This window comes from Homo sapiens, chromosome 1 (assembly GCF_000001405.40).
Source record: "Homo sapiens chromosome 1, GRCh38.p14 Primary Assembly".
NCBI classification, from domain to species: Eukaryota; Metazoa; Chordata; class Mammalia; order Primates; family Hominidae; genus Homo; species Homo sapiens.
This window is the reverse complement of record NC_000001.11, coordinates 24997600-25024084: the sequence shown is the minus strand read 5'-3', so window position 1 is coordinate 25024084 and position 26485 is coordinate 24997600. Positions and strand designations below refer to the sequence as shown.

The 26485-nt window shown below is 52.6% G+C and overlaps 1 non-coding gene across 1 annotated transcript, besides 11 other annotated features; it reads right to left on the bottom strand.

Moving 5' to 3' along the window:
* Positions 384-1946: an enhancer, noted in NCBI's record as "RUNX3P2E2 fragment for enhancer region 2". NCBI's record gives its function as "Epstein-Barr virus responsive enhancer" and the evidence as "EXISTENCE:reporter gene assay evidence [ECO:0000049][PMID:26883634]".
* On the bottom strand, positions 499-582 carry MIR4425 (microRNA 4425). The gene has a single exon (NR_039623.1). It is a non-coding gene; the product is annotated as a microRNA 4425 (primary transcript).
* Positions 955-1484: an enhancer, noted in NCBI's record as "active region_434". NCBI's record gives its function as "activates an Ori minimal core promoter by ATAC-STARR-seq in GM12878 lymphoblastoid cells {active_cell/tissue: GM12878}" and the evidence as "EXISTENCE:reporter gene assay evidence [ECO:0000049][PMID:35858748]".
* Positions 2425-2951: an enhancer, noted in NCBI's record as "H3K4me1 hESC enhancer chr1:25347625-25348151 (GRCh37/hg19 assembly coordinates)". NCBI's record gives its function as "activates a minimal SCP1, AML or CMV promoter by ChIP-STARR-seq in primed H9 embryonic stem cells {active_cell/tissue: H9 hESC(primed)}" and the evidence as "EXISTENCE:reporter gene assay evidence [ECO:0000049][PMID:30033119]".
* Positions 2825-2934: an enhancer, noted in NCBI's record as "active region_433". NCBI's record gives its function as "activates an Ori minimal core promoter by ATAC-STARR-seq in GM12878 lymphoblastoid cells {active_cell/tissue: GM12878}" and the evidence as "EXISTENCE:reporter gene assay evidence [ECO:0000049][PMID:35858748]".
* Positions 2952-3480: an enhancer, noted in NCBI's record as "H3K4me1 hESC enhancer chr1:25347096-25347624 (GRCh37/hg19 assembly coordinates)". NCBI's record gives its function as "activates a minimal SCP1, AML or CMV promoter by ChIP-STARR-seq in primed H9 embryonic stem cells {active_cell/tissue: H9 hESC(primed)}" and the evidence as "EXISTENCE:reporter gene assay evidence [ECO:0000049][PMID:30033119]".
* Positions 3739-4635: an enhancer, noted in NCBI's record as "H3K4me1 hESC enhancer chr1:25345941-25346837 (GRCh37/hg19 assembly coordinates)". NCBI's record gives its function as "activates a minimal SCP1, AML or CMV promoter by ChIP-STARR-seq in naive H9 embryonic stem cells {active_cell/tissue: H9 hESC(naive)}" and the evidence as "EXISTENCE:reporter gene assay evidence [ECO:0000049][PMID:30033119]".
* Positions 4593-4752: an enhancer, noted in NCBI's record as "active region_432". NCBI's record gives its function as "activates an Ori minimal core promoter by ATAC-STARR-seq in GM12878 lymphoblastoid cells {active_cell/tissue: GM12878}" and the evidence as "EXISTENCE:reporter gene assay evidence [ECO:0000049][PMID:35858748]".
* Positions 4793-4862: an enhancer, noted in NCBI's record as "active region_431". NCBI's record gives its function as "activates an Ori minimal core promoter by ATAC-STARR-seq in GM12878 lymphoblastoid cells {active_cell/tissue: GM12878}" and the evidence as "EXISTENCE:reporter gene assay evidence [ECO:0000049][PMID:35858748]".
* Positions 4953-5062: an enhancer, noted in NCBI's record as "active region_430". NCBI's record gives its function as "activates an Ori minimal core promoter by ATAC-STARR-seq in GM12878 lymphoblastoid cells {active_cell/tissue: GM12878}" and the evidence as "EXISTENCE:reporter gene assay evidence [ECO:0000049][PMID:35858748]".
* Positions 22794-22933: an enhancer, noted in NCBI's record as "active region_429". NCBI's record gives its function as "activates an Ori minimal core promoter by ATAC-STARR-seq in GM12878 lymphoblastoid cells {active_cell/tissue: GM12878}" and the evidence as "EXISTENCE:reporter gene assay evidence [ECO:0000049][PMID:35858748]".
* Positions 26132-26361: an enhancer, noted in NCBI's record as "active region_428". NCBI's record gives its function as "activates an Ori minimal core promoter by ATAC-STARR-seq in GM12878 lymphoblastoid cells {active_cell/tissue: GM12878}" and the evidence as "EXISTENCE:reporter gene assay evidence [ECO:0000049][PMID:35858748]".

The window sequence follows — 26485 nt, the reverse complement described above, 5'->3', positions numbered from 1 at the left end:
TGTGCTTGCCGTGGGGATGGGGCAATGGGAGGCCAGACCCATCTCTACCCTGGGGACACTCACAGTCTGGGTGAGGACACAGGCGGAAACAGTGATTTAGCTGCCGTGGTAGTGAGTACACAGAGACTCGCTGTGCGTCACCAGGGTACCTGACAGAGACAATCCTGGAAAGTTCCTGGAGGAAGTGACCTTCCAGCCCATCTCTGAGCCTTGGGGAGGATATAGTCAGGCAATTGGGGAAGGGTCAGTGCTTCAGGCAGGGGAAGAGCATGTGCAAAGCCTCTGAACAGAAGGGGCATGCCCTTTATAGCCTTGAGTCCAAATCCTTATTAGTTACGTTTGCCAGGGACAGGTTGGCACAGTGGCTAAAGGCTGGGGCTCTGGCATCACATGGCCTAGGTTTGAATCTCACTTTGCTGCTTACTAACTATGAGACAATGTATAAATTACTTGACCCCCTCCCCATCCTTCAGTTTCTTCATCTGTAAAATGGGAATATTACTTTACACGAATGGTCCTGCTGAATCCCAACAACACTTCGCAAAGCTGTTGGGATTCAATGGGACCATTCATGTAAAGCACTTAGCACACAATAAATGCTCAATAAATCTTACCACGAATCTCACCTACTGAGCATCTGTGTGTGTTCCGCAGTTTATCTTCACACAGATCTGTGAAGCTTGGACCCACTGCTCCATTTCATAGATAAGAAGACTGAGGGTTAGAGGACTGAATAAGGTGGAGATCGACTGAGGTTTTGGAGGAATCAGGGAGGCTTCTTGGAGGAGGTGGTGGCTGAGCTGGGTGTTGAGAATGGCCACCCCTGCCCCACCCACCAGTCAGGAAGGCTCACTCTAAGCAGAGTATTTCAGCTTCAGGGGCTCCACTGGTCCCGGGCTCCCTGGGTCTGGGGATGGAACAAAAGGGCTGCCCTGGGCACTCCCAAGGCCTCCCAGGAGTCTCAGCAGGGAAGGCCCCATCGGGCCAGGTTCTCAGGCTACAGAGCCTCCAGCGAGCATCAAACAACAAAAAGGCTTTTCTCACTCTGGATGAGTCACCAGAGCGAGCAGACGCCCCGTCCCTGTGCTGAAGAAGATGAAACCACACATCTGAAGAAGTTTCCCACGCCACCACTTGCTTTAAATAGCTGCAGAGAGAAGTGGAGGAGGGAGGGAAGGGGAGAGGGGGTAGGGAAGCAGGGCTGTCCGCACCAGGACCTGGCTGGGGTCTCCCCCATACCCCAGGACCCTGACACGCACCCCTTGAAGCAGGTTGTTGATGAGAACTCAGGCCCCATGGGTGCCAGGGGAGCCCAGCAGAGGCCCAGAGCCCACGGTGGGCCAGGGCACAGCAGACAGATAGGCAGACAGCAGGAGACACATCCAGCTGGGCCGTGGGGTGCACACCCCTGTGTCAGGGTGCAGGCCCAGGAAGGGGGAAGTTGACCTCACTGTGCACCCCGGTGCAGCCTCTAGGCCCCCAGCCAAGCTTCCTCGCAGGTCACCTGACACCCCTGAGTGCTCTGGCTGTGCCCCCCTGCCTGGCTAGGTTCGTGACTGAGCCCTGGGCGGCATTTCCGGAGGCAGGCCGGGAGCTGGGGCTGCTTACGCACTTGCTGTCCCCCCCCGCCTCCAGCAGGGCCGGGTGAGAAGAGAGCCCCCCATCCCCCCCTTCCCGTAAATGAGCTCACCCCCACCCCAGGGCCTCACAGGGATTCTAAGAAGTGGAAGCCAGGCACCTGCTCCTCGCCCACAGCAGGGGGTGGGGGTGGGGTAGGAGGGGGAGGGGCAAGGGAGAGGCCAGGGGTCCTCATAACCCCTCAGCTCAGCCCTCAGGCCTAGGCCAGGGTTCAGGGGCGGCCCCAGGGGTTGGTAAATATTCTTTCCCTTAGGTGTGGAAGAATGCCCTCTCTGTTGTCCATGCGAGAGCAGTGCAGTTCAGGATGCCTCCATGGCCCGGGCCCATTTTTCAGAAGGCAAACTAAGGGAATCCCAGAGATGCCTTGGAGGCCAGTCTGGTTCCCTCCCACGCTGGGAGTAAGATCACCTCCTGGATGTTCGGGCAGCCCTTGGTGACCATCAGTGGCTCACTAAATATCTGCCTTTGGAGACCCTCTAAGCCAAGGCCCAGAGAGGGCAGTGATTTGTCCAAGGTCACACAGCAGGCCGGGGGAGGTCCAGGCATACCTCTAGGTGAGTCCATACCCTGCCCAACCCACCAGTACTGCCAGCAAACATTCATTTGGCATCTACTGGATCCTTTGCAGGGACATGGGATTAAATAAGACAGCATCCCACCGACGGGGTCCAAAAAATAATCATGAGCAGTCGCCAGAACCTGGGCCAGGGGATCTCAGTGCTGCCTTCTCATCCAGGTCTCGAGGCTTTGAAAAAATACAGATTCCAGGGCTCCAGCCCTGAGATTAGGATTCAGCAGACTGGGAAGGAGCCCAGGAACCTGCATTTTATAAAGTTCCTCTAGTTGATCTGATGGATTGAGAAGCTTGGAACAGACTGTAAGCAAATTGAGGGCAGGGGCTGCCCCGAAGGAGGGGAGGGGTTTTCCAAGGGCTTCCAGTGAGAGACACACACCCCAGCCTTCCCCTCCCACACCAACCTCTGCCTGTACACAGGGCCCAGCCCAAAGAGGCTTCCAGGAACGAGGCACTGACAAGAATAGTTCCAAGAGGCTGAATGACGGCCCCCGCCTCTCTCTGCTCTCCCCACTCCCGAGTTCACATGCAGGACAGGGTGGCCATGCTCCAGGCAGCCAACGAGGTGGGCGATCCCACTGTGGACGGCTCTGCCTGGTGTTAGGGCCCTGGCCTGTGCCCTCCGTCCCCCGTCTGCACCCTCCCTGAGGTCCCTGCGGCCCAGGCTGGGTGGCTCCAGGCCTCCGTAGGCTGTAGGTCCTGGGGTGAGGGGGAGTCTCTTGTCTGTCCAGAGAGTATGAGGCTGGGAAAGGCGGGGGTGCTAGGACCTGCAGCTAAGGTGTGTGCGGGCTCGCTTCCTGGTACTCGAGGAGTTTGGTGCTCCCGGGCCTGGTAGCGTGGGAAGCAACATGGAGGCCCTGGGCTGGGCTGTCCCTGTGTGCCTGGCAGAGCATCCAGCCAGGACCAGGCTCAGTGAGGACTCATGGACCGACTGATCTGGGGATGTGGGTGGCAGAAGCTGCCCCCTCCCTGTCTCTAACGCAGTGCCCAGCTCGGCCACCTCACGAGGCCACTGTCCTCTCAGACTCCATGTCTGCTTCTGTGCAATGGGCAGCAGGGGTGGGAAGAGAAAGGCTTGTCCAGGGCCACAGTGGGGCTAGAGGGAGCAGCCAGGCCCCTCAGCAGGCCTGCTCCTAGCGCCAGGGGCCACATCCCCACAGCCTCCGCTTTTGCAGAGGGCAGGGGAGACAGAAGTCACCGAGAGGAAGTAGAGAGCCCTCCCCAGACCCATCTGAGTGGGGCTGCCAATCGCCGGCTCTGGAGCTTCGAGCAGGGCATGGTGCCACGCCTCTCAGAACCCCATTTTCTCATCTGTGCAGCAGAGACCCCCCGACTCCAGAGGGCTGCTTTGAGGGTTAAATGAGCAAAATCTCGTGAATGTGTGAGGAATAGTCATTATTTCGATAGGCGTGATTGACATTTTTCTCACTAGAGTGTGAGTTCCAGGGGCAGGGGTTGTGCCTGACATTGGTAGGTGCTCAGTTGGTTTGTGGAGTGAATAAACGAGTGTAGAGGGAGCCGTTCTCTTGGCCTGTGCTGGAGGCTTCCTGGGGCCTTGTTCAGCACATGTGTGTGCTCACGTTTGTGTGCACCCATGTGTGTAGGCATGCATGTGCATGTGTATGTGCAGGCATGTATGTGTGTGCACGTGTGTGTAGGCATGTATGTGAATATGTGTGTGCAGGTATGTATGTGTGTGCAGATGTGTGCATGCAAGAATGTATGTGTGTATGCATGTGTGTAGGCATGTATGTGAATGTGTGTGTGCAGGCATGTATGTGTGTGTAGGTGTGTGTATGCAGGTAGGTATGTGTGTGCATGTGTGTGTGGGCATGTATGTGAATGTGTGTGTGCAGGCATGTATGTGTGCGTGTGCAGGCATGTATGTGTGTGTGCAGGTGTGTGTGCGCGCAGGTGTGTGTGCAGGCATGTGTGTGTCCGGGCATGTACGTGTGTGTCCAGGCATGTATGCGTGTGTGCAGGTGTGTGTGTGCACAGGCATGTAGGTGTGTGTGTGTGGGCATGTATGCATGTGTGCAGGGGTGTGTGTGTGTGCAGGCATGTGTATGTGTGCAGGTGTGTGTGTGTGCAGGCATGTATGTGCGGGAGTGTGTGTGCACGCATCCACATGCCTGCACACTCCTGCATGCGGGTCTGGCCCCGGTGTGGAAATGTGGGTCTGTGCATGGCCTGTCTGGGTCTGTGTTTTGCATATGGGTCTGGCATGTGGCCATTTGCATGTACTTCTCAGTCTGTGGGCCTATAGCTATGAGTGTGCTCACCCCACAGGTGTCCAGGCTTGGTCCGGAGTGAGGGTGTCTGATTATTGGTGTATGGCGGGTATGGGAGGTTGCCTCCTGCTCTCCTGACTCCCTCTCCCCAACCAGGACTCCAAGTTGTGAGCCCGCCTGGGAGTGCCAGACTATGTAAAACAGAGACCAGGCCCAGGGAAGCCCCTGCAGAGTGGCCCCTGGGGACTTCCAGGCCCCTCCTCCCTGGATGCCCCTCCCCTCAGTAAAGCCTTCTGCCCCTTCCAAAGTCTCATGACTCTCCACTCAGGGGCTTCCTCTCATATCTGGGGGCTGCACACAGTGCCCAGATTTCCCTGTCTGCCCTCTCTCCCACCACTGCTTTCAGCCCCTCTTGCAATGCCAGGCCTGGCGTCTCCCTCCTTCCTTTCTGAGGCCCCCGCTTCACTTCTGCACAGTTCCCCCAGCTGCTTTTGTGAGCTCCACTGTGCGCCAGCTCCTGGGCCCTGGCCCTTCGCCTGCATCATGGTTACCACTGAGAGAGCTTCTAGCTGAAGCCCCATTTTACCAATGAGGAAACTGAAGCTCAGAGAAGTTAAGGAACTTGTTCGAGGTCACACAGCAAGTGAGTGAGAATCAGACACAAACAAGACTCCAAATCCAGGTCTCTTTCTCATACAGCCACACCACCACCATGCTTCAAGTCATATCAATGACTGAGCCTCACTGGGAGGACCGTGTAAACCCCTTCCCCAGATGGACCCCAGGGGTTCAGGCACCTCCCATATCCATGGCTCATAGGATGAAGGCTCCTGGCTCTGGAAAAGGCCTCCTGGCCTCCTTGTGGAGGAACTCAGGCTCACCCTCTGCTCCTGGCGGAGCCATGTTTGGGCCTGGAAACCTCCAAGCCTACCCCAGTTGGGCCAACTTGAAGCCCCCAGGTCTTCTCAATGCCACATAGCACTTGCCTGGCGGGCCCCATGGAGAGGTCAGAATCCCCTTCGGCAGGGTCATTACTGTTTCCCCAGAACACGCTTCCATTTGGCAAGGACACGTGTGTTGGGGGAGCCATGTGGCTTTGATTTAAATTTCACCCTGGAAAAACGATGGTTTGGATTAAGGGAAGAAACAGTTGGTGAAATGTCATGGAAAGAAAGGAGGGGAGAACAGGGAACCTTTGTAGCAAGAGCAGCCCCCAAACTTTCAAACCCACATTCCAGAGGTTTCTGAAGGCCTGCCATGCAGACCTGACCTCCTACCCCAGCATGCTCCTGTCCTCTTCAGTAGCAGTGAGGTGTCCTCAGGAGATATCCCACTGGTCCTGCTCCCTCCTCTTACAGAAGCTGAAACAGAGGCTCAGGGAAGGGTGGCGACCTGCCTGGGGCTATGATGAGTTCTGGTGGCTCATGGAGCTCAAAGGAGGCTAGGGGTGGGGTGAGAAGAGGGACATGAGGCTCTGCTTTCCCCCACTCTGTTGGCACGGGGCTTGACCTCTCTAGGCCTCAGTGTCCCCAATGAGAAAGGGAAGAAAAAGGAATTACAGTATTTTCAATCTCCACTGGAGCTGAGCGAAGCCCAGGAGCCCTGTGGAAGGCCAGTGTGCTTGGCTCTGACTTCCTGACCCTTTGCTTATGCTGGGCTTGGCTCTGACAGCATCCCACGCGTGGCCTGCGCTGAGTTCCCAACACCCACAGTCCCCACCCTACAGACAGCAGACTGAGGCTCCTAGAGGCTAGGAAACTTACAAGGCTCCAAGAGGCTAGGAAACTTACGAGGCCCCTTGGCTAGGATGCGGCCCCAGGGGCTGTTCCTAACCACTGGACTGTGAGGTTGAGGCTGGGAAGAGAGTGGAGAGGATTTAGCCCAGGGCTGTGAGAGCTGGGAACAACCTGAAGCCCACACCCCCAGGAGTACCTCACAGTTTCTAGGTCACCAGCTCTGAGTCAGGAAGTCTCTCGATGTCATCCATTCATTTAGAGGCGGGAGCTGAGGTCAAGCAGAGGGATGTATCCAGGGCCACACAGTGGGGAGGTGCCACATCTCCAGATGGCCAGTGGGGGCTCTGTGGTGTGGATCCTGGAACCAATGCGGGATGACACTCTGACCCGTCAGGCTGGCCTCAGGGACTGTGCAGCCCTGCATCTTCATCTCTGTAGTGGCTGCTTGGGGTCGGAACTCCAGCTGTGGTTATGGGTCCATCTGAGACCAGGGTCAGGGCTCAGTGTGTGGCCGGGGCTATATGTCAGCAATGAGGGCTTGGTCTGTGACCAGGGTCAAGGCTGAGGAGTTTAATGCAGTGAATTGGCTGTAGAAGATAAAAATGGACTCGAAACCCAAAGGACAGAATCGCTGATGGGGGTTGTGCGTGCTGTGATGGGCCAGGGAAGAGCTGGGCACGGGGGCTCTGGATCTACAGAGGCAGGAGCTGGGGCACTTCGACCCCATGAAGTCCTCTTCACACCCACCTCTGCCTGGTGCAGCCCTCCCCCTTCATCCCTGTGCCCCCAGGACAACCCCATCTCTTTCCTCTGGGGAGAAGCCACTGGAAGTCATCCCCCTCCTGACTTGACACCTAAAGGGGCCAGAAGAACCATCTGCCCCCCAGTGCTGGGTTCCACCCGTGCTCAGAGCCCCATCTCACCCCACAGGATGGGAAGGGAACCATCTGGAGGACAGGAGAAAGGCCGCTCTGCACGGGTGGGGCGGGGATGCTGACGATGGACTGTCCAGAGCCAGGACTTAACCTGGACAGGTTGGTTCTTGAGTTCATGCTTTTAACCAACCACCATAGATTCCCAGAAGCACTGATAAAAGGTAGCCTTAGTATTATTTTAGCCAAGTCTGGCAGTGTGTGGCAAAATGCAGAGACTCAGGGGCCACCCTGAGAGAGTGCTGAGCAAGTCACAGCACACCCTGGGCCCTGGCACACAGTAGGGGTTTAACCAATGGGAGCCGGAGATGATCCGACAGAAGTGGCTTTCAGGCCCCAGGGCCCCCAGGTCAGGAGACACCACAGTGCGGAAATGAGAAGCCAGCTGGAGACCCCTTCCATGCCTGTCTGGCATGGGAACACAGCTGGCACTGCTTGATGGACTGTGCCTAAGCACCAGGGTCAGATAACCGGGCGCTGCTCTTCCTTTTTTTTTTTTTTTTTTTTTTTGAGATGGAGTCTTACTCTGTTGCCCAGGCTGGAGTGCAGTGGCATGGTCTTGGTTCACTGCAACCTCCGCCTCCTGGGTTCAAGCAATTCTCCCTTCTCAGCCTCCCCAGTAGCTAGAATTACAGGTGTGCGCCACCACGCGTGGCTAATTTTTGTATTTTTAGTAGAGACAGAGTTTCACCATGTTGGCCAGGGCGGTCTCGAACTCCTGACCTCAAGTGATCCACCCGCCTGGGCCTCCCAAAGTGCTGGGATTACGGGCGTGAGCCACTGTGCCCAGCCGGTGCTGTCCTTGTTGACTCTGTCTGCCCCAACCTTGCAACATCGCACTCTCTAAAAACAGACAAAAAATAACCGCAAACAACTGGGCAGGAAGGGACCCTAGAAATCATCACCCCTGATTTTACAGAGAAGAAAATTGAGGCTTAGGGAGAGGAAGGGACTTGGCCACAGTCGTACAGTGCTGTGGGAACAGTCCAGAACAGGGGACTTGCAAGCACACGGCTGCCCCAGGGACAGTGCCTGGTGATTATAGCCAGCATTTACACGGGCCTGTGGGAAGCCCCCTCAGGCTTCTTCTCATCTAATCCTCCCAGAGTCAGGTGACCATCAGGGTGGGCGCTTAGGGATGCACTCACCTAACACGCAAATGGAAGTGGTGAGGTCTGAGCCTGGCCACTGAGCACCAAGCCAAGTGCACCCGTGCTGTGCCACTGGCCTCATTCACACAGCCCAGGCTAGGGGGCCCTAGCATGTCTCAGCCTCCGCGCCAGCCCCCTCACCCCAGAGTCTTTGCAGAAGTGCAGCCTGTCCTCATTCCACCAGGAACACTGTTCTCTTCACCTCCTAGGCCATCTCATGAGAGGTAAGAGGAAGAAAAACCCACAGAGACAGAGGCAAAGCCATCCCACACCTGCCACCATTCCCCCTGGTGGATTTTCCCTGTGTCTCTGAATGCAGAGGCACCAGTTAACGTGGAGAAGAAATCAGGCTGGGGGCTCAGGAGCTGTGGCCTGGGGCGACCAGGGGCCAGGGCTGAAGGTGGGCAGCAGGTTGACCGACTAGATGCAATTAATTCATTCAGCACCGACCTTGAAAAGTGTCAGAGGGACTGCAAGAGCCAGGTCTAGTATCACGGACTAGAACACATCACTTGCCTTCTCTGGGCCTTTGTCATCCCACCTGTAAAATGAGAGGCTTGGTCCCATCAGTGATTCTCAGTCCCAGCTACACAGGGGATCTTTTATTTTTATTTTTGTTTTTATTTTATTTTATTAGTTTTATTTTTGTTTTATTTTTGAGATGGAGTCTCGCTCTGTCACCCAGGCTGGAGTGCAGTGGTGTGATCTCGGCTCACTGCAACCTCCGCCTCCTGGGTTCAAGCAATTCTCCTGACTCAGCCTCCTGACTGGATTACAGGCACAGGAGACCATCCCCAGCTAATTTTTGTATTTTTAATAGAGACATAGTTTCACCACGTTGGCCAGGCCGGTCTTGAATTCCTGGCCTCAAGTGATCTGCCTGCCTCGGCCTCCCAAAGGGCTGGGATTACAGGTGTGAGCCACGACGCCCAGCTTGGGGATCTTTTGAAACATATACTTAATTGATTCTGGGATGGACACCATTTAAACTCTTCCCAGTGATTCAACTGAACAGCTGGGGTTGAGGGTCCCTGGGCCAGACTCTGTGTCAGGGCCCCTCTGGCGCTGAAGTTTCGCCAGAGTATGGGGGTTACGCGTGTGGCTGCAGGTGTCAGACTGACTGAGGTTGGTGTCTGTGCGCCACTTGCTGCTGCGTGTGCCTGGGCAGGCCATGTCACTGCTCTGTGCCTCAGTTTCTCTGTCCGTGGTTAATCATAGCCTTCCCTGCACAGCATTTTTGGGAGGATTAATTGTCCTGGTTGTGTAAAGTTCTGGCACATGCAGAGGTAGGACTTGATAAGCCTGTGTCAAAATAGTAGGGATGACCGTTCCGGGAACAGGGCCTCAGCTGGTCACCTGCTCCTAGGAAAATGGGGAGGCTGCAGTGGGCTTTACCCCTGGACTTTCCTGGACTAGATGCTTTCCCACCAGCCTGAGCAGTGCTGACCTGTGGTGCAGCGGGGGCTGCAGGTCAGAGGCTGAGGCACCGCCTAGCGGAAACTGGGTGGGCTGGCTTGGGTACCTGCGGAGAGGGTTGGATGGACAGGAGCTCTGGGGCCATGATCTCTGAGCATGTCTGCTGCTGCCACTCCAAGATTTGGGGAGCCTAGAGTCCCTTTGGTCAGTTCTAGGTCTCTCCCTCTTGGCATCTGTGGCCTCTCCCGCCCCAAGCCCTCCCAATTGGCCCAGTGTCCCTGTGGAGGGGGGTGCTAAGCCGTAGTGGGAGGGGCGGAAGCTGAGAGGTGTAAGGGGAGGATGGGGGCTGCGGGTGGCTACCTCAGAGCCAGCAGCCCTCCTGAGTTCATCAAATGTCAGAAATATGACTTTGGACCGTTCACTGCCTTCGGTAAGCCTCAGTTTCCTCACCTGTAAATCGTGGCTGTTAAGTCCCAACTCGGGAAACTGTGGTGAGGAGAAAACGAGATCGTGCTCACAGCCAACATCTCGTAGACACGTGCTGCCAGATGGGCATCATGCCAATGTTATCTCAGTTTGTCCTCTCCATCCTATGAGGCTTATCAACACCAGCACCAAGCATCCCCATTTCACAGATGAGAAACTGAGGCCTGTTTGTTTCACTGAGCACCTGCTCTGCCCTCTCCCCTGAGAATGGGAAGGAAACTGTGCAAGGTGCCACAGCAGCAAGAGCCACGGCCTGGATTCGAGCTCGGGAACATTAGACACCAAAGCTCTAAGCCCTCCAAGCCCTGGGTGGACTGTGATGGGCAGACAGGTCCTGGCAGGGTTCCTGGAGTGAGGCAGCTGCTGTGAAGGTGGCAGTGGGAGGTGACACCTGTCAGAATCCAGAAAGCCTGGGTGCAGGCCCTGGGCTGTCAGTAAAGAGGAGGTGAGGTGTCTCCACTTGTGCCGGACCCAGGCTGGTGTCAGGACAGCAGGAGGTGTGGGTCTTCAGGTCCAGAGAACGCCTCAGGCCTGGTGTGGGTAGCACTGGTGACTGTGACGTGTCACCTGACACATGACTCCAGGTGACTGAGCATCTACTGCCTCTCCACCTCTGTTCCAGGCACTTCCTGCCCACTAACACAACTATCCAGAAAGCAGGACTACCACATCCCCATTTTACAGATGAAGACGCCAAGGAACAGAGAGGTCTAGTCAATTGCCCAAGGTCACAAAGCTAGGAAGGAGCAGAGTCACCGTCAAAGTCCAGACCCCCACCCTTGAACAGCTGTGCCATCCACCTCAAGTGTAGATACCTGCATGAAACCAAGAGGATCTGACATCTAGACTCTTGAACCTGCTGCCCGGGTTCAAATCCCAGCTCTGCCACTTACCGGCTGTAGGACCTTGGGCAACCGACTCAACCTCTCTGTGTATTCCAGTTTCCCCATCCATGAAATGGGGATAAAAATCAAGTACCTCCCTTAGGGGTACTTTGATGCTTAATATATCAAGTAGCCCGGCCCAGAGCAGGCCCCAGGAAAGAGTGGACTGTGGAAATTCACGTGGGGAATTTTTCATGGGAAAAATCTTTCATGGGAAGATAGTATATGCGGGATGGTCAGCAGTGGTTACTTTGGGAGTGGAATGGCAGGAGGCTTCCACTTTGTAATCACCACACTTCAACACATTCTCTGTTTTTACCTATGTTGTGATATATATTTTTTAAATAAAGAAAACTCTCTGAGCTGGGTGTGAGTGGGTGTCAAGACGTCTCTTGTGGCTAGTAAGTTGCTCTCTTTAGAGAAAAAAACAGGGCATTTTTATTGTACTTCACATAATCTGAGACACAGCTCATGGGGGTGCACAGAGGCCATGTCATTTCCATTCAGAGTGACAGGAAACAATCTGGCCCTCACTGGGCGCTCCATGCACAGGGCTGTGGGAGGAGCGCCAGCCCTGGAGCCCAGGACGTAGGTATCAGCCTCCTGTTCTGCCCCAACTTGTGATGAAATCTTTATTTGTTTGCTCAGCAAACTCCCCCTGCTGCTTCCTTGGTGCCAGGCCCTGGACTCCAGGGCTCTGAGTGTCCACTTCTCACTTGCGCCTACTGCGAATCCTGGAGACAAAAGGTAGGACAAGGCAGAAGCAGTCCCTGTCCCTCTGTGACCTGCAACCCAGCAAGGGAAGCCAGCACTATCAAATCATCCCACAAGCAAAGGTCAAATTACCACCTAATGAGTGTGGGAGTGGGGGGCGGGAGTGATGGAGAATAGGCGCTTGGAGAACCTCCCTGGGGACAGAGAATGATCAAGGCGAGGGGAAGTGCTCCTACAGATGAAGGGTGCACTGCCATGGGGAGCTAGAACGGCGTAAGCAAAGGTCAGGCAGTGCAAGGGATCCTCGTGAACCTGAGGGAGTGAGAGTGCCAATGGAATGAAGATGCTGACGGGGAGCTCGGTGTGAGACAAGAAGGAGGGGGGCAGGGCCAGGCCACAGAGGACATTGTAGCAGGGATCTGACCTTTATTCCAAGAGCCAGAGGCCATGAAGGGGATTAGGGACGGGGGCTAAAGATTTCATCCGAGATCCCCCTAGAGCATGGGGAGAAGGGAATGGGTGGAGGGTCAGAGTGGACCCCTGCCAATCTCCAGTTCTTCGAACTGCACAGGCCTGTACACAGCAGCATCAATAAATGGCTCTTTTCTCGGATCCATTCTTCTTCAACTCATGGAAGTAAAATTTAGATCTCAATTTTTATTATTTATTTAATGACTTCTTTTTCTGAACACAAAATATGTAGTCTAGAGTGCAAAGCGATAGGAAATTACCAAATTTGATGAGCTGCTGTGGGAATTAGGGGTTCGGCTCACTTCCTGAGGTTTTCTCAAAGGGAGAACCAGGGACAGAGGGTGCAGCTATGAGAATAAGGAAGAAGCCCTAAGCCTGTTTTAGGAGCTGTTCTAAGATCCCCAAGTTCCTTGATAGGTAGTGAGTTCCCTATTTCCGGGGCACACGTAAGCTGTCAAAGTATAATTTCAAAAAAAATAGAGTAAAAGCATAACTCTCATTCAAATATAGGTTGAACACATGTCAAAATTTGTTTAACTCCTGAATGAGGGAACCAGTAAGAAGATAAAGCTGATTCAAAGGAGAAGTAGAGGAATAGCACTACAGAATACTGGGAAAAGAATACTGGAATACAATGGCTCAGTGAGATACAAAACTGGTTAATGTCCTGATGGGCCAGAAGTCCGTAACTTTTGGGGCATTTTCTACTGGACAGAAATCTATATATTAACATATAACTTCTAAAGTCTGGTCTTCTAATGGCTCATACTAAGTCAAAGGTACCTTCCTCTAGATAATTAAATACTATCTTAGTCTGTTTGGGGAGCTATAACAAAATACCATAAACTGGGTAATGCATAAACCACAGATATTTATTTCTCACGGTTCTGGAGGCTGGGAAATCCAAGATCAAGGCGTCTGGTGAGGGCCCGTGTTCTCATAGATGGTGCCTTCCCGCTGTGTCTTCACTTGGTGGAAGGGGCAAGGCAGCTTTCTGGGGCCTCTTTTATAAAGACACTAATTCTATTCATGAGGACTCCACACTCATGATTCAATGACCTCCTAAAGGCCCTTCCTCCTAACCCCATCCCATTGGTGATTAAATTTCAACATATGAATTTTGCAAAGACACAAACATTCAGACCATAGCAGATACCCTTAGTGGGCCTGCTAAACAACACCCCAATATGACATTGAAAAGACCTGCTGCCCTGTCTTTGCCTATTTCCAAGTTTTGGGTAATTTTTCTTAACAAAGCTGGAGCAAATGGCTGCAGTGAGAGGCTGCAGGAGAGTTCTGGTGGTGGAGGGGCTGGCTGGCATGTTATCTTTTGCTGTGTAAAAGATTACCCCAAAACCTGCTGGCTTAAAACAATAAACATTTATTATGTTGCAATTTCTGCAGGCCAGGAATTCGAGAGCAGCTCAGCTGGGCATTTCTTGCTCAGGGTCTCTCAGGAGGCTGCGATCATGTGTCAGCTTGGACTACACTCATCTGAAGTCTTGACTGGGGCTGGCAGACCTGCACCCAAGGTGGTGCACTCACACAGCTGGCAAGGTGGTGCAAACTGTTGGCTGGCCTTGCCATGTGGGCCTCTCCATGGGTTGCTTGAATGTCCTCACAGCATGGCAGCCAGCTTCTCTCAGAGCAAGTGATCGATCCCAGAGAGAAGTAAAGCAGAAAAGTAGTATGCCTTTAATGACCTAGCCTCAGAAGTCACACTCATTCATTTCTGCAGTAGCCTATTGCCTACAGAAGTCAGCCCTGCCCAGTGTGGGTGGGGACTTCCTAAGGGAGGTGGTTAAGGGCCTTGTCAGTTTTGGAGACTGGTTCCTGCACTGGGCACCTTCAGGGTGCCTCAAGCCAGAGGCTGGAGTTGGTGCCGGTAGCAAGCAGGGATTGCCTTCAGCTGTATCACTGCCCAGGCTCCTTCCTATTCACCTGCTTGCAGCTGCTACACAGTGTAGGGCCTGGGACAGATGGCTCTGCTTTGGAGTCTCTCATTGTAGCACCTGGTTGTGTCTTCTGAGTAGCTTTCCCACCCCAGAATCTCAGCCCACAACAAAGTCTGTCTCTGGGAGAGTGCAGACGGTCAATCATTCACACCTTAGTATGAATGAGTTCATCAAACTTCACCTCTGGCAGTAGAAAAAATGTGAGATTTGGGATGGGAGCTGGGGCAGAGGGGTGTCGAGGTTGTAGGGAGGGTGGGTTGAGCAGTAGCCTTTCTGGGGAGTGGCAGAGGAGACTGTCTTGGAGGGAGCATTCAAAGGGGGACACCTCAGGCAGCACATGGGAGACTCCCTGAAAGCCAGTGGGGAGAGGAGGACCCAGGAGGCTGCCCACTGCTGAGGGTCACGGGAATCACCAAGTACCCAGGTGAGGGCATCAGGAGAGGGCAGAGCATGGCAAAGAGAAGCTTCTGTTCCTGGTGGTTTGACCCTGGCTGCCCGTCAGGACATGCCTGGCTGCCTGCTGGTGTGTCTGATTGAGGGGTGGTCTGCAGACCAGCAGAGCCAGACATAGCATCTGGGCCACCCTGGGCTCCCAGGGAAGTGAGGAAGGAAGGAGGATCCCACTTTGCCCATGCAGGCTGGCAACAGCCAGGGTTGGGAGTGTGACCAACCAAGAGACGCATTTCCCAGAGGCCTCCCGAGGCTTCAGGCCCAAGGCTGACCCGAAGCTTCCAGGCAAGGCAGCTGGAAAGAAGAGCCGGCGGTCCAGGGTGCAGACCTGGCCCTGTCCTCCACTGCACTCTGCTGAGCCATCAGACGGCTTCCTTCCCCGCCCTGGTTCCCAGCTCCCATCTGTGGAGCAGCTCGGGGCACTGCAATGGCCAGCTCAGGGAACATTCCCTCCTCTGTCCTCTCCTCTTGGCCAATCCTCATCAGAGGAGGAGGTGGGCAACCGGGAGAGAGGGTAATGGCCCCAGGGGACCCCATGCCCAGCAGATGCCCAGAGTCTGATCTGGGGTAGGTAGCCTCAGGGCGAGCCCAGGGGCACATCCAGCTGGGATATAAAGCTTATGGAAATGTCCCAGAGACGTTCATTTGAGGAGAAAGGGGGAGGAAGTCTGCCAGTTTGGGGGGTAATTATTTTGCAAAACTTTATGAAGTTTCCGAAAATCTTGTTTCCCCCTTCATTGAAACCATTGTTTTTCAAGGGAAATTGAATTAGAAGGTGGTGGTGGCTGGAGGGGGCAGGAGAGGGAAGAGTAAGCCACATGTTTTTCTAACTAACTGGGCGTCTGTCCTGTGCCAACAATTCCAGCAGCTCCTTGTGCTCTGCATCTGGGACCACCAGGGCTGTGGCTGGGGCCAGGAGACAGCCCAGCAGCTCTGGGGACAGTGGCAAGGCTGAAGAGCATGCCCCAACATCAGCTGCCTTCATCAGGGCTGGGCAGACATTTGGAGTTTAACTGAAAAGTGGGGTCAGGCCCTTGGTGCTGGGGTTTAAACTTAGGAGAAACTTTTGCAGAAAGCTGAGTGACCTTGGGTAAGCCTGGCAACCTCTCTGTGCCTCCGTTTTCCTCCTTGGAAGACAGTAGCCAGTAATGGGTGTCCTGAGTGGTGAGTCAGACAGAAGGCAGCATGAAAAGTGAAGAGTGCTGCAGGCTTCATTACGATTAGCACCACTGCCATCATCATCTAGTTAAGAGAGAGCCATTTACTAACACCCTTCAGGCCAATTCCGTGTGATTGGTAGAGACTGGCTGGGACACTCTAGAGCTGAATTGGAGCTTGATGGGAGAGAAAGTGCAAGGATCAACTAGCGATGCCTGTTATGGGTGCAGACTGGGAAGTAATGCACCTGTAATTCCAGCACTTTAGGAGGCCGAGGAGGGCAGATCACGAGGTCAAGAGATCGAGACCATCTTGGCCAATATGGTGAAACCCTGCCTCTACTAAAAATACAAAAATTAGCTGGGCGTGGGGGCGGGTGCCTGTAGTGCCATCTGCTTGCGGGGCTGAGGCAGGAAAATCGCTTGAACCTGGGAGGCGGAGGTTGCAGTGCAAGATTGCGCCACTACACTCCAGCCTGGCAACAGAGCAAGACTCCGTCTCAAAAGAAAAAAAAAGAAAGAAAGAAAGAAAGAAATAGAGGAGTGGCCAGGTGCAGTGGCTCTCCCCTGGAATCCTAGCACTTCGGAAGGCAGAGGCAAGTGGATCCCTTGAGCCCAGGAGTTCAAGACCAGCCGGGGCAACATGGCGAAAAACCATCTCTAAAAAGCAAACTGGGTGTGGTGGCACGTGCCTGTAGTCCTAGCTACTCAGGAAGCTGAAACGCAAAGCTTGCCTCAGCCCAGGAGGTCAAGGCTGCAGCGAGCTGTGATTGTGTCACTGCACTCCAGCCTGGGAGATAGAGTGAGACCCTGTCTCAAAAAAAAGAAAAAGAAAGAAAGGGGCATTAAACTTTCAAAATGTGCCTCTTCCTGCTTCACACATTTATTGGCATGTCTGCACTCAAAAACCTTCAGTGGCTCCTGCCACCTGCAGAATGAAGTCCAAAATCTTTAGCTGGTCATTCAAGACCCACTCTGATCTGGTACCATGCACACGTTCCAAATGTTTGTTTCCTCCTTCCCTAGGACGGGGTTCCAGCTGAGCAGGGCCATATGCCCACCCCTTCTTCCCCACCTTTGCTCCTGCAGTGTCTGTGCCTGAAATGCCCTTCCCACATCTCACCTGATGGGCTTCCTCTCCCAGCACCCCCACCCTAAAGCCCCGCAGCCCTCCCTCTCTATTTTCCCTTGCAGTCGTGATCAAACTTTATATCTCAACAAGATCCCCACGTGTTCTCTCGCCCGCTGAACAGTGAGCTTCTGTAACTGACCAAGTCGGCTTGATTTTTCCCTCTCCCTTTCCTGGCACAGGGCCAGGCATGTAGTTCCTTAGCCGGTATTCACTGCATCAATGAAATGAATGTCGAAGCACACAGAAGGCAGGGAGCTCCTCACGCTGGACCCTGGGTCTCTGACTCCCTGGCTAGTGCTCCTCCCGGAGCCCCAGCTTCTCCTCTGAAAGTCTGACTTTCATTCACATCGGCTCTTTCACGGCTTCCCAGGGCCAGCTAAACCTCCCTTCTCACCCTCTCTCCTTCTCTCCCATCCCCCTCCTAGCATGATCTGGCCACTGCCTGGCCGTGGAAGCCAAGAATGAAGACAGTAAGCCTGGAAGGAAAGCCATGACTGAAACCCTGCCACTGTCATCTCTGCAACCCGTTGGCTCCCAGCATTTATGAACTTACATGTCAATCCTTCCAGTGGGGTAGAGGGGGGATACAAGGACACCTCAGAGCTCTGACTAATCCTTCATCTCTAGGCAAGTGAACCCAGTGCTGGGGAAAGCGCCCTGGATTGGGGGCGTCTAAGTCACACGCTGTGACTGCATGGCCTCGGACAAGTCCCTTGCCCTCCCTGGGCTCACCTGCACAAGAGATCAAAGGATCCCTCCTGCACTAACAGACAAGGCTCATCCATGCCTCCCAGGAGAGCGGCAGGCTGGGACTGTCTCCTGGGGGTGAAGGGGCCTGCCCTGCCGTGCTCTGAGGGCCTGGCCTCTTGGCCCTAGTGCTTGAGCCCCCTCTTCCTGGGCTGAGTGTCTCAGGCTGCCTTGGAGGCTGTTTCTCCTAAACCTCAGCAGTCACAGGGACCTTCCTGGGCCAGAGCAATGCCTGAAGGGAAGATCAGAAGACAGCTCTGGGTTCTCCACCTATTTTGCAAACGGAAATGCCTTTGAGGGGGCCAGCTCTCATTGAAGACATTTACTTTGTTAATATATTTATTTATTTAGAGTAAGTTACATTGTAAAAATAAAAAAAAAGGTTCTGCAAAGAAAGGGAGGCTCCATTCCAGAGAAACAGAGACAAACAAATAGAGACAGAGAGAGGGGAACCCGACTCTGACAATCTGGGCATCTCCAAAGGCATCTCAGCCACTTGCAGGTGTCCTGACTGAACCTTCCAGCCCTGTTCCACTTCCCGCTCCTCCTTCTCCCGAACTCCATGCTCTTTCCACTTTCCGCTCCTCCTCCTTCCCAACTCCATGCTCTGGGACGCAAATTCCAGCCTCCAAGCCTTTGCTCCTACAGCCTCCCTCACCGGGAGTGTCCTTTCAGTCGGCTCAATCTTGTTCCTTGGGGAAGCAGTAGAGGGTGGTGGCTAAAGGTGGGTCTCTGGGCTTGGAAAGGCCTGGGTCCCAGCTGTGCCTCTGCCTCCTGTCTGCCACTGACTGCACCTCTCTGAGCCTCAATTCCCTGTCTGAAGAGATAACAGTAATATCATCCCTTGGCTTTGAGGAGATTTAAATGCTCTAAAATGCTGAGAATGGTGCCTGGTATATATTAAGTGCGTAACTTTAAGATGTTAGCTATTAAATAATTATAAGGTCCATAAATGCTCCACTGACAGCATGCCTCTGCTGACTGCTGAGCCCCCGAGGCTGCTGCCTCCTACCTGCATCCCTCAGCACTGATGCCACACTGGGATGCAAGTGCTGCCATGGCAGGAACCGCCTCTCCAATTCCCAGGCCACACAGTGCCTAACACAGCACTCCATCAGTGTTTGGGAATGAATGAAGGAGTGCTCAGCACGGTTGCTGAGGGGCTCAGTTCATTGCAAGAAACATTGATTGAGCACCTGCAGTGTACCCTGGCTGGGATGCGTTAGCTTCATCTGTGTCCTCTCCTCTAATTAGGCAGGGACCTCCCCTACTTGCCTCCTTGATGCCTCTTTTAGGAATGCCGAAATTGCCCATGATGCAAAGTATCCAGTAGGTGCTCAGCAAATGTTTGTTGCTGGTGAGGCTACAGTTGGAGAGGAGGGACGGGGAGGCTGTGGCATCTCATCAAAGCCACAACCTCTGGGCAGTCCTCATCCACGGCTGATCCCAGATAGTCTTATACTTTTTTGTTTTTGAACCACATGAATGTGTCACTCATTAATCCAGTTGCTATTGCAAGACACGTGACTCTAAAACATAACGGCTTAAAACAACATTTTATTTTGCTCGTGATGTCGCGGTCAGGAATTCAAGAAAGGCAAAGCAGGGTCTCTCTTGCTTGGGGTCACCTACAGTTGTCATCAGAGGCTGGCCAGGGCTGCATTCATCTGAAGGCCTGGCTGAGCTGGATGTTCAAGTTGACTTGTCACACTGCTGGCAGTTGATGCTGGCTGGTGGCTGGAGCACCCACCCGTGGCCTCTCAGCATGGTGGTCTTGGGCCTACTCAGGTGTCTTATGTGGAAGCTGGCTTCTCAAGCAGGAGTGTCCCAAGACACCCAGCCAGAAGCTGCACAGCCTTTTATAAGCTGACCACGGAAGCCACATCATGTCACTTTCATGACACTCTTGGTGGAAGCAGACACAAGCCTGCCCAGATTCATGGGAGGAGGCATAAAGCCCACCTCTTGATGAGTGTCAAAAAATTTGGCCCATGTTTGGATATACCACACTGATTTTTAAAATTGGATTAACTAATTTTTTAAAATGTTAAAGAAACTTTTTATCTCCACACTACATAGAAAATCAGTATCAGTGGCTGGGTGTGGTGGCTCATGCCTGTAATCCCAGCACTTTGGGAGGCCAAGGCAGGTGGATCACTTGAGGCCAGGAGTTTGAGACCAGCCTAGCCAACATGGTTAAACCCCGTCTCTATTAAAAATACAAAAATTAGCCAGGTGTGGTGGCACCAGCCTGTAATCCCAGCTACTCAGGAGGCTGAGGCATGAGAATCGCTTGAACCCGGGAGGCGGAGGTTGCAGTGAGCTGAGATTAAAAGCAAAAAGCACTATTACTTTCCTACTGCTGTGTATGAATTTATCAGCTTACATCAACACAAATGTACTCTCCCACAGTTCCCATAGGGCTGGAGTCCAGGCATGAGTCAGCTGGGCCCTCTGCTAAGGGTCACACTAGGCTGAAATTAAGGTGTCAATGGAGCTATAATCTCACCTGCTCTCGGAGTCCTCTTCCAAGCTCACTGGTGACAGAATTCAGTTCGTCATAGCTGTAGGACTGTGTCTCTATTTCCCTGCTAGCTGTCAGCCAGGGACCATCCCCAGCTCTTAAAAGCCACTCAAAGTTCCCTGCCACGTGGCCCCCTCGTGGGCTGTTCATAACAAGGCTGTTGGTTGTCTCCCAGGCTGGCAGAGCACACCTCCTGACATTTCACCTTTAAAATTTTCCTCTGATGAGGTCAGGCCAGCCAGAATAAACTCCCTTGTGACTGACTCAAAGTGAGGTTCATGGGTTCTGCCCACACTCAAGGGACAGGAATTATACATGCTGTGTACACCAGCAGCAGTGAGGAGGGGGTGCTGACCACAGCCATTATGAGCCCCCAGCTAGACACCATCATCCATTGAAGGCCCTGCCTGGGAGGCTCTGTTTAGGTGGGAGGTTAGCAAGTCCAAGAGTACAAGGACTCTCCAGCTGGAACTTCTGCCCTGATGCTAATCAAAGACATAAGCAAGAATGGAAAAGGGCACTCCACTCTCACCCTGTGGGTCGGTGCCCATCAGCAGCTGCCCCAAAGCACCCCATAGACCAGCTTCAGAAAGCACAAGACCAAATAACCACTAGGCCCTTCCAGCGATAACATTCTGAGACGTTGTCCATCAATGTCAGCTCCATTCTTTTCGGTCACGTGGTCTTAGGCTGGTCGTGGCAAGCCTAGGATGTGACAATGGGCTCTGCAAACTGTAAAGTGCTGTGCCAATATATGGGGTTGTTATCATCAGTCCTGCCTCCTGAGCCAAGCCAAGCTGGACTCAGTGTCTCCTCTGGGTACCCATAAAGGCTGAGCAGAGCAGAGCCCATCAACCTTCATGACACGGAGTAGCTTTCAGTGTTCTTGTAGCTGGGGGTGGCTCAGAAGGGACTGGGCTGTGACATCTCAGAGGCCTGAGAAGAGATGGACTCAGGGAACCTTCATACGAATAACCCTTCGAATCACTCTTCAAGGACACCATTATAGATGGTTCACCAACCAGAATTTGCTATTTTCATGGTTATCTAATATGCTTTAGGAGAAAAACATCTCTAGGGAATCCAAACTATGATTTGACAAATAAGGTTTTTTAGGATGAGGATAAATTTATTTAAGTAGAAAGAATGAATTAATTAATATAGATGTTATAATATATAATATATACTATAACATATATAAATATATTATAATATATAATATTCATGATGTGAATTAACATGAATATAACATAATATATAATATAACATATTATATAATATATGTTATTATCATATATGACAATATAAAATATATAATATATAATATATAGTATATTATATGTTATACGATATGTTATAACACATACCATGTGTTACATAGAGCAACGTATATAACATATATGTTACATAGAGCAACGTATATAACATATATGTTACATAGAGCAACGTATATAACATATATGTTACATAGAGCAACGTATATAACATATATGTTACATAGAGCAACGTATATAACATATATGTTACATAGAGCAACGTATATAACATATATGTTACATAGAGCAACGTATATAACATATATGTTACATAGAGCAACGTATATAACATATATGTTACATAGAGCAACGTATATAACATATATGTTACATAGAGTAACGTATATAACATATATGTTATAATGAGTAACGTATATAACATATATGTTATAATGAGTAACGTATATAACATATATGTTATAATGAGTATATAACATATATGTTATAATGAGTATATAACATATGTTATAATGAGTATATAACATATATGTTATAATATAGTATATTAAATATATTATATTAAATATATAACATATATGTTATATATATTTATATATAATTATAATATATATTATAATACATAACATATATATTAAATATATTATAACATATATTATATTTAATATAATATATATGTTTTCCTTTATATATATGTTCTATTATAATATATAATATAATGTATGTTACTATATTATAACATAACTCATATAATACGTGTATATGCACAATATGAATTTAGGGTAAGAAAAGCCATTAAGTTGTTACTGGAATGATTAAAATTTGGAAAAAACATCTTTGGGAAGACAGTTCACCACAGAGTGGCCCCAGAGCCCAAGGTTGTGGGGTGTGGCTGTTTCTTCCTGAGTCATCAAGCCAACAGGCAGGAGTTTAAAACGGGTCTTTAAGATGGGTCACCGCCCCCAGCCCCAACTCCCCAGCCCAATCCAGGATGCTGGTCTCTAACAATGGTCAGAAGCGCCTGAGGCAGAAAGCACCTCTTTGTAGACCCGGGGCTGCAAGGCAGTGGCTCCCTGTGTTCCGGAACAGCTGACCAGTGTGTAGTCTGCGGCCTTCCTAGTTGGACCAAAGAACGACCTGGCCCAGGCCAGTTGCCCTTGGGTGCCAACTTCCTGCTGAGGGAGAACCCGAGGGCCCCTGGAGGCTTCTGAGTCTGATTTCCGGTGGCCAGGGAGGGTACGTAGCGGGAGAGCTTGTGGCCAAGGTGGAGGGGCCCCGGGTTGGGTGGCTGGAAGACATGGCAACCCAGCACCGGCCAGGGAAAACCCAGGCAGGAAACATGGGCACCCAGCAGGCCTTCACGTCAGCAACAGAGAAACCAGCCTCGGCAAAGAGTAAATACATCCAGCCCTGCCCAGCCCAAGCTTGTCTCCTGGGGGCATGGCTGGCAGTAGCCAGAGCAGAGGGCACAGGAGGGGCGGCTTGGGGGAGCCCAGGCAGATGGTAGTGAGGCCATGGTGTGATGTCTTCCAGGTGCCCAAGGACAAGCCCACAGGCCCTGGCCTGTTCCAGGGACCACAAGTGCTCCAAGCTGGGTCTCTGGAGGCTCTCTATCACTGGGGAGGGCCTGGGATGAGGGACCTGGAGGGAGGAACAAGAGGCAGGATGAAAAAGGAAAGGGAGAGGAATTCACGCGGACTGAGCGTCTCCTGGAGTGTTCATGACTGGAGTGGCTGACACCCGCTGACCACTGACCACGTAGTCTCCCTGCAGCATCTTTTCACCAGATCCTCCCCGAAAGCCCTGGGAAGGAGGTATGGTTATACTGCCATTTACATGGAAACTGAGGCCCAGAGAAATTAAGAAACTTGCTCAACATTACACAGCAAGGAAGTGGTAGAGGACAATGACAGGCTGTCCCCTCTGCCCTCGAGAGCCAAAGTGCATTTCTAGTCAAGAAAACTTCTCCGGCCAGGCACGGTGGCTCATGCCTGTAATCCCAGCACTTTGGGAGGCCAAGGTGGGTGGATCACTTGAGGTCAAGAGTTCAAGACCAGCTGGCCAACATGGCGAAAACCCCACTCTACTAAAAATACAAAAATTAGCTGGGCGTGGTGGCACGCACCTGTAGTACCAGCTACTCCGGAGGCTGAGGCAGGAGAATCACTTGAACCTGGGAGGCGGAGGTTGCAGTGAGCCGAGATCATGTCACTGCACTCCAGCCTCCAGCCTGGGCGACAGAGTGAGACTCCATCTCAAAAAAAAAAAAAAAAATACCAACATGTCCTTCATATGAATATAATTTCCCATATGCTCACGCCTGCATACTGTGTTGTAATCAGCTTTGGCCCTCAGTGTACAGCAAACCTCTTGCCACATTATTGATTTTGATCCTGATGTTTCTCAAGGATGCAAGACCAGGCCTCCTTCGGGTCTCTGCACCAACACCGAGCCAGGTATCATGCAGTGGGGGTGACAGGCAGGGAAGACAGTGTGTCCAGGACTCTCAGAGGGTGCAGCCTGGCCCCTGGCAAGGGCTCACAGGTTCACTTTCTTCAGTGGACATTTGCTCTTCTATTCTCCACACCAGGCCCTGGGCTGGGCATTGGGGCACAGACATGCACCCGCCACAGCCCCTGCCCTCAGGGAGCTTTCAGTCTAGTTGGGGCATGAACAGGGAATCACAGAATTCCTGGAGAATAAATTAAACAACCTGGGAAGAAGACTCTTAACCCTCAAAACACCTGGTAGCTAAGTAGGAACCCATGATGGGCCAGAGATTGGCTGAGCGGGACAGACAGTGTTGTGGTGGGAAGTCAGAGGAGGGAGAGGTCTCTGTGGAAGGGCTGGTCGGAGACAGTTCCCTGGAGGTGCTTGGTCTGTGAGCCTTAGGAAGGTTGGCCAGGCTTAGAAGAGGGGAAAGGAGTGGCCACCAGGAGAAAGGCCTGTAGGAGGAGGAAGCCTAGTGAGCATCCGTGTCACGGGAATAATCGCCACTGGGCTTGCTCAGGGCTGACCTGGGCCTGGCATGGTGCTGAGCCGTCAGCACACAGACTCTCACGCAGCCTGTGACAGTGCTGTGGGGAAGGTAACGATGGTCTCATTTTACAGAGGAAGAAGCTAGCGTGACCAACGATCCTTGTTGCCCTGGACTGTCCCAGTTTTAGTACTGAAGGTCCCATGTCCCAGGAAACCCTTCAGTCCCAGGCTAACTGGGACAACTGGTCAGCGTAGAACAGTTTCTGAGCTTCACCACTACTGACGTTTAGGACCAGACAATTTTTTGTTGTAGGAGGTTGCCCTGGGCACTGTTGGATGTTAGCAGCATTCCTGGCTACTACCCACCAGGTGCCATTGCACGCCCCGAGTTGTGACAACCGAAAATGTCTCCAGACATTGACAAATGTTCCCCTAAGAGACAAAATCACCTAGGGTTGAGAACCATTGCCCTGAAGGAAGCTGAGGCTGAGAGATGAAGACACTTGCCCAAGGCCACACAGATGTAAATATCAAGGCTGGGACTGCTGGACTTCCCACGGAGCCAGGTGGCTGCTCCCGGCGTGGGCAGTCAGGGCATCCAGACAGCAACCCTCGCTCTGCCTCCGATGCACCATGTATCCTAGGCAAGCCATGCTCCGACTCTAGGCCCCAATTTCTTCATCTCTACAGCGTGAGCTTAGATTTGACAAACTCTGAGGCCCCTTGTGTTTCACTGTTCTGCCTTCCCAGGGACTAGGGCAGGGTCAGCCCAGCTGGTATGGGTGGGGAGGTAGGGTGTGGCACAGACCAGAGGCAGGGAAGTTAGAGGGCTGGGCAGGGGGAAGGGAGGGTGCTGGGCTGCAAGTGCCACCATCACGTCTGCCCACAGGGCACACCTTGTCTGAGCACAGGCAGGTTCTGAGCTGCCCACAGTGGGTCCCTTCAAAGGAGCAACAGAAAGGGGCTGAGCAGAGGGAATAAGAATACAGGGGATGGCGTGGCGACACCGCCCTCCAGGAAGCCTCAGCCTGTCTCTGTGGCCATCCCCATCTCTCCTTCCTTTGACCCTTGTCTGCAGGTCTTTGCACTTAATGAATGCTCAAGAAATAGTTTTTTGAGGCCGGGCGCGGTGGCTCACGCCTGTAATCCCAGCACTGTGGAAGGCTGAGGCGGGTGGATCATGAGGTCAGGAGATCGAGACCATCCTGGCTAACAAGGTGAAACCCCGTCTCTACTAAAAATACAAAAAATTAGCCGGGCGCAGTGGCGGGCGCCTGTAGTCCCAGCTACTCGGGAGGCTGAGGCAGGAGAATGGCGTGAACCTGGGAAGCGGAGCTTGCAGTGAGCCGAGATTGCGCCACTGCAGTCCGCAGTCCGGCCTGGGCGACAGAGCGAGACTCCGTCTCAAAAAAAAAAAAAAAAAAAAAAAAAAGAAATAGTTTTTTGAATAAATGAATGAATGAATGAATGTCCACCCAGATCCCGCCACAGCTGTGCAGAAACCAAGCTCTCAGACACTCTTGACTCTCCCAGGCCTGTAGTTGAACCATCACCCCCACCTCTGCTCCTGCCTCCCCACAGCCCTTCCTCCTCTCAAGCCCCTGCTGGGCCTGGCACATCGGCCATGCCAGGGCTGCCGTAGGGGAGGGGATATTCCCCCTAATGCAGGGTCAGTATCTCTAGTATCTCTCCCCTCGGCAGAGAGCAGCTGGCACCTAAGCTGGGGGATGCCTGGCAAGGCCTGCCTGGCTCCTGTGGGGAGACTCGGAGCCCCCAAGCTCCCTCCTCTCCCGCCCCCCACACTGTGGTTTGCTCACAGAGGAAGCAGCAGCTGGGCCCGAACACAAGGCCTAGAGACGTGCTTGCTGGGGCCGTGTGGAAAGTTACAGCCGCCACCACTGAGGTCTTTGAAGACCAAACTGTTTGTGTTCCCCACAGCTATTTGTGGCCACCGCGCCCACCCCCTACCTCCCGCTCTGACTTAGAGCTGGAGACTGAGCAGAGTTCAGAGGGCTGCGGCCATCCCTCCGCCAA